The 6589-nt window shown below is 43.1% G+C and overlaps 1 pseudogene across 2 annotated transcripts in view, besides 1 other annotated feature; it reads right to left on the reverse strand.

Moving 5' to 3' along the window:
• Positions 1-6589, reverse strand: part of PPP5D1P (PPP5 tetratricopeptide repeat domain containing 1, pseudogene) — an 82238-nt pseudogene that overhangs the window by 73442 nt on the left and 2207 nt on the right. The window lies entirely within an intron of this gene.
• Positions 3919-4119: a silencer, noted in NCBI's record as "peak3526 fragment used in MPRA reporter construct". NCBI's record gives its function as "represses an SCP1 promoter by STARR-seq MPRAs in K562 erythroleukemia cells {active_cell/tissue: K562}" and the evidence as "EXISTENCE:reporter gene assay evidence [ECO:0000049][PMID:32103011]".

Consider the following 6589-nt stretch of genomic DNA (forward strand, 5'->3'; position numbering starts at 1 on the left):
GAGGGTTCCCCTTTCTCTACGTCTTTGCCAGCATCCACCTTTTTATAAAGGCCGTTTTAACTGGGGTGAGGTGATAGCTCACTGTAGCTTTGATTTGCATTTCTCTGACAATTAGCGATGTTGAGCATTTTTGTATATACCCCTTAGCCATTTGAATGTCTTCTTTTAAGAAACGTCCATTCAGATCCTTTGCTCACTGTATTAGTCAGGGTTCTCTAGAGGGACAGAACTGATAGGATAGATGTATATATGAAGGGGAGTGTAATAAGGAGTATTGAGTCACATGATCACAAGGTGAATAGGCCGTCTGCAAGCTGAGGAGCAAGAAGCCAGTCCCAAAACCTCAAAAGTAGGGAAGCCGACTGAGCATGGTGGCTCAAGCCTGTGATCCCAGCACTTTGGGAGGCCAAGGAAGGTGAATCACCTGAGGTCAGGAGTTCAAGACCAGCCTGGCCAACATGGTGAAACCCCATCTCTACTAAAAACACAGAAAATAGTCGGGCATGGTGGTGCACGCCTGTAATCGCACCTACTCGGGAGGCTGAGGCAGGAGAATTGCTTGAACCCGGGAGGCAGAGGTTGCAGTGAGCCGAGATGGTGCCACTGCATTCCAGCCTGGGTGACAGAGTGAGACTCCATCTCAAAAAGAAAAAAAAAAGTAGGGAAGCTGACAGTGCAGACTTCAGTCTGTAGCCAAAGGCCCTGGCAAATCACTGGTGAAAGTCCGCACGTCCAAAAGCTGAAGAACTTGGAGACTGATCAAGGGCAGGAAGCATCCAGCACGGAAGAAAGATGAAGGCCGGAAGTCTCAGCGAGTCTGCCCATTCCATTTTCTTCTTCCTGCTTTATCCTAGCCGTGCTGGCAGCTGGTGGGTACCCACCCAGATTGAGGGTGGGTCTGCCCCTCCCAGTCCACTGACTCAAATGTTAATCTCTTTTGGGAACACACTCACAGACACATCCAGGAACAATACTTTGCATCCTTCAATCCAATCAAGCTGACACTCTGTATTAACCATCACACCCGTTTTTGTTTTTTTGTTTTTGTTTTTTTTTTTGAGACGGAGTCTCGCTCTGTTGCCCAGGCTGGAGTGTGGTGGTGTGATCTCAGCTCACTGCAACCTCTGCCTTCTGGGTTCAAGCAGTTCTCCCTCCTCAGCCTACTGCATAGCTGGGATTACAGGCATGTGCCACCACACCCAGCTAATTTTTGTAGTTTTAGTAGAGAAGAGGTTTCACCATGTTGGTCAGGCTGGTCTTCAACCCCTGACCTCAAGTGATCCGCCCACCTTGGCCTCCCAAAGTGCTGGGATTACAGGCGTGAGCCACTGAGCCCGGCCCACACCCACTTTCTAACTAGATTTTTTTTTCCTGTTGAATTGTTTGAGCTCCTTATATATTCTGGTTATTAATCCCCTGTCAGATGGATAGTTTGCAAATATTTTCTTCCATTCTGTGGTGTGCCTCTTCACTTTGTTTATTGTTCCCTTTGCTTTGCAGAAGCTTTTTGGGTTGATACAATCCCATTTGTCTATTTTCACTTCGTTGCCGGTGCTTTTGAAGCCTTACACAAAAAATCTTTGCCCAGACTAATGTCCTGGAGCAATTCCCCAATGATTTCTTCTGGTAATCTCATAGTTTCAGGTCTTGGATTTAAGTCTTTAATAGATTTTTGTTTGTTTATTTATTTATTTTTATTTTATATATATATTTATTTATTTATTGAGTCAGATTCTCCCTCTATTGCCTAGGCTGGAGTGCAGTGGCACAATCTCGGCTCACTGCAATCTCCACCTCCTGGGTTTGAGCGATCCTCCAGCCTCAGCCTCCCCAGTAGCTGGGACTACAGGCTCACGCTACCACACGCAGCTAATTTTCCAGAGCATCCCAACTGGAAAGGAAGAAGTCATATTAGCCTTGTTCATAGATGACATTTTTTTTACAATAGCTTTATTTATTATTTTATTTTTTAGAGATAGGGTCTCACTCACTCTATCGTCCAGGCTGGAGTGCAGTAGCACCATTATAGCTCACCGCAGCCTTGATCTCCTGGGCTCAAGTGACCTCCCTGTCTTAGTCTCCTGAGTAGCTAGGACTACAGGTGCACCCCACTATGCCTGGCTAATTTTTTAATTTTGTTGTAGAGGTTGGGTCTTGCTCTGTTGTCCAGTGTGGCCTTGAACTCCTTGCTTCAAGTGATCCTCCTGCCTTGGCCTCCTAAAATGCTGGGATTACAGGTATGAGCCACCTGGGCAACACGGCAAAACCTCATGCCTGGCCTGATATGATCTTATACTCGACTCCACCAAAAAACTGTTAAAACTGATAAACAAATTCAGTAAAGTTGCAGGATACAAAATCAACATACAAAAATCAGTAGCGTTTGGCCAGGTGCAGTGGCTTACGCCTGTAATCCCAGCAATTTGAGAGGCCGAGGCAAGTGGATCACCTGAGGTCAGGAGTTCCAGACCAGCCTTGCCAACATGTTGAAAGCCTGTCTCTACTAAAAATACAAAAAATTAGCTGGGTGTGGTGGCGGGCGCCTGTAATCCCAGCTACCTGGGAGCCTAAGGCAGGAGAATGGCTTGAACCTGGGAGACAGAGGTTGCAGTGAGCCCCGAGATCACACCATTGCACTCCAGCCTGGGCAAAAAGAGCAAAACTCTGTCTCAAAAACAACAACAACAAATCCAAACCAAAAAAAACCCCAAATCAGTAGCATTTATATATGCCAACAGCAAACAATCTGAAAAAGAAATCAAGAGAGCAGTCCCATTTACAATAGCCACAAAGAATATAAAATACCTAGGAATCAATTTAACCAAAGAAGTAAAAGATCTGTACAAGGAAAGCTATAAAAACACTAATGAAAGAAGCTGAAGAGGACATACACAAAAAATTGAAAGATATTTCATGCTCATGGTTTAGAAGAATTAATTTTGTTAAAATGACAATACTGCCCAAAGGAATTTGCAGATCCAGTGCAATCCCTATCAAAATACCGGCGACATTCTTCACAGAAATAGAAAAAACAATGCTAAAATTTACACAGAACCACGAAAGACCCCAAAATAGCCAAAGCAATCCTGAACAAAAAGAACAAAGCTAAAGGCATCACACTACGTGACTTCAAAATAGACGACAAAGCTATGGTAACCAAATCAGCATGATACTGGCATAAAGACAGACATGTAGACCACTGGAGCAGAATAGAAAACCCAGATATAAATCCACACATTTACAGCCAACTCATTGTCAGCAAAGGCACCAACAACATACAATGGGGGGAGAACAATCTCTTCAATAAATGGTGCTGAGAAAATCGGAAAACTGTACGTAGAAGAATGAAACTAGAGCTGTAGCTCTCACCATATACAAAAATTAAACAGGCCGGGCTCAATGGCTCATGCCTGTAATTCCAGCACTTTGGGAGGCTGAGGTGGGTGGATCACTTGGGGTCAGGAGTTCAAGACCAGCCTGGTCAACACAGTGAAACCCTGTCTCTACTAAAAATACAAAAATAGCCAGGCGTGGTGGCAAGCACCTATAGTCCCAGCTACTCGGGGGCTGAGGCAGGAGAATCGCTTGAACCAGGCTGCAGGGAGCCAAGATCGCACCACTGCACTCCAGCCTGGGCAACAGAGCGAGATTCTATCTCAAAAAAAAAAAAAAAACCAACTGTGTTATCCTCTCACTGAATATACCCCTTTATCATTGTACAGTGACCTGCTCTGTTTCTTTTCACAAGCTTGGAATTGTAGTCTCTTTTATCTGATACCATATATAGATACCAAGTATAGCTACCCCTGCTTTTTTTTTTTTTTTTTTTTTTGGTTTCCAGTTGCACGGAATATCTTTCTCTAACTCTTCACTTTCAGTCTAAGTGTGTCTTTATAGGTGAACTGGGTTTCTTGTAGACAGCATAGAGTTGGGCCTTTTTTCTTTTTTCTTTCGAGACAAGGTTTGTGGCCCAGGCTGGAGTACAGTGGGGAAATCTCGGCTCACTGCTATCTCCGCCTCCCAGTATCAAGTGATCCTCCCACATCAGCCTCCTGAGTAGTCAGGAATACAAGTGCACGCCAGCCACCACGCCCAGCAAATTTTTTTTTTTTTTTTTTTGGTAGAGACGAGGTTCACTATGTTGCCCAGGCTGGTCTCCAACTCCTGAGCTCAAGCAATCTTCCTGCCTTGGCCTCCCAAAGTGCTTGGATTACAGGCATGAGCCACCATGCCTGGCCTGGGTCTTATTCTTTATCCATTCAGCCACTTTATGCCTTTTAATTGGATAATTTATTTCCTTAACATTCATGTTATTATTGATAAGTAAGGACTTACTACTGCTATTTTGTTGCTTATTTTCTGGTTGTTTTCTTCCTTCTTTTTTTTTTTTTTGAGACAGAGTCTTGCTCTGTCGCCCAGTCATGACTGCAGTGGCGCGATCTCGACTCACTGCAACCTCTGCCTCCCGGGTTCAAGCAATTCTCCTGCATCAGCCTCCCGAGTAGCTGGGACTACAGGCACCCACCACCACACTCACCTAATTTTTGTATTTTTAGTAGAGACGGGGTTTTGCCACGTTGGCCAAGTGGATCTCGAACTCTTGACCTCAAGTGATCCGCCTCCCTCGGCCTCCCATAGTTCTGGGATTACAGGCGTGAACCACCATGCCTGGCCCCCTTTTTTTCTTTCTTACTGTCTTCCTTTGTGGTTAAGTGATTTTCTCTGGTAGTATGTTTTAACTTGTTACTTTTTATTTTTATTGAATCTATTATAGGTTTTTGCATTGTGGTTACCTTAAGGCTTATAAAAAAATCTTATAACAAGTTTTTTGTTTTTTGTTTTTTTTTGAGATGAAGTTTCATTTTTATTGCCCAGGCTGGAGTGCAATGGCACAATCTCGGCTCACCACAACCTCCGCCTCCCAGGTTCAAGCGATTCTCCTGCCTCAGTCTCCCGAGTAGCTGGAATTACAGGCATGTGCCACCACGCCCGGCTAATTTTTTGTATTTTTAGTAGAGAAGCGGTTTCTCTATGTTAGTCAGGCTGATCTCGAACTCCCGACCTCAGGTGATCCGCCTGCTTCAGCCTCCCAAAGTGCTGGGATTATAGGTGTGGGCCACCGTGCCTGGCCCCCTTTTTTCCTTTCTTACTGTCTTCCTTTGTGGTTAAGTGATTTTCTCTGGTAGTACGTTTTAACTTGCTACTTTTTATTTTTATTGAATCTATTATAGGTTTTTGCATTGTGGTTACCTTGAGGCTTCTAAAAAAAATCTTATAACAAGTTATTTTAAAGCGATAACATCTTAGATCACAAAGAAAAAAATAGAAACAATGAATAAAAACTCCACACTTTATCTCCTTCCCTCCCACATTTTGACTTTTTGTTTCCTCAATTTACATATTTTTATTTTGCTTGTCTTTTAACAAGCTGCTATAGCTATTATTGTTTTAATTATGGGGTCTTACTGTGTTGCTCAGACTGGCCTCAAACTCCTAGGTTCAAGTGATCCTCCTGCCTCAGCCTCCCAAGTAGCTGAGACTACACCCAGCTCAATATTATTGTTTTTGATAGATTTGTCTTTGAGGCTTTATGGTAGAGTTAAGAATGAATTGCATACCACAATTACAGTATTGGAGTATCCTGGGTTTCTCTGTGCACCTAATTTTACCAATGGGTTTTATACCTTCAAATATTTTCTTTGGCCAGGAATGATGGCTCACACCTGTAATCCCAACACTTTAGGAGGCCAATGGGGGAAGACTGCTTGAGCTCAGGAATTCGAGACCAGCCTGGGCAACATGGCAAAACCCCATCTCTACCAGAAAGAAAATACAAAAATTAGCCAGGCATGGTGGTGTGCACCTGTAGTCCCAGCTACTCAGGAGGCTGAGGTGGGAGGATCACTGGAGCCTGGCAGTTTGAGGCTGCAGTAAGCTATGATTGGGCCACTGCACTCCATCCTGGGTGATAGAGCAAGATCGTGTCTCAAAAAAAATTTTTTTTCTTTTTGCATGGTTTTTTTTTTTTCCGGATTGAGGAACTCTCTGGAACTGTCTTTCTTCAAGAGAGCATTTCTTATAATACAGATCTGGTAGTGGTGAATTCTCTCTGCTTTTATTTGGGAAAAACTTTATCTCTTCTTCATATTTGAATAATAGCTTTGCTTGATACAGTATTCTTGTATGGCCTTCATGGTTTTGATTGAGAAGTCTGTGGCCAGGTAAATTAGAGCTCTTTTAAGTGTTATTTCCTTCTTTTCTCTTACTGTTTCTAGGATCCTCTCTTTGTTCTTGACCTTTGAGAGTTTGATTATTATATGCCTTGGGGTAATCAAATCTATTTGGTGTTCTCTGGCCTTTCTGTACCTGGATATTTGCAATTTTTGAATGTCTTCCATTGTTTCTTTGAATATCCTTTCTATCCCCTTGCTCCTCCTCAGCTCCCTCTTGAACACCAATAATTCTTAGATTTTGTCTTCTATATTTCGTAGGTGATTTCCATTCCTTTCATTCTTTTTTCTTTTTTCTTCTGTATGTATTTACAAACAGCCCGTCTCCAAGTTCACTGATTGTTTCCTCTGCTTGACCC

This window comes from Homo sapiens, chromosome 19, assembly GCF_000001405.40.
Source record: "Homo sapiens chromosome 19, GRCh38.p14 Primary Assembly".
NCBI lineage: Eukaryota > Metazoa > Chordata > Mammalia > Primates > Hominidae > Homo > Homo sapiens.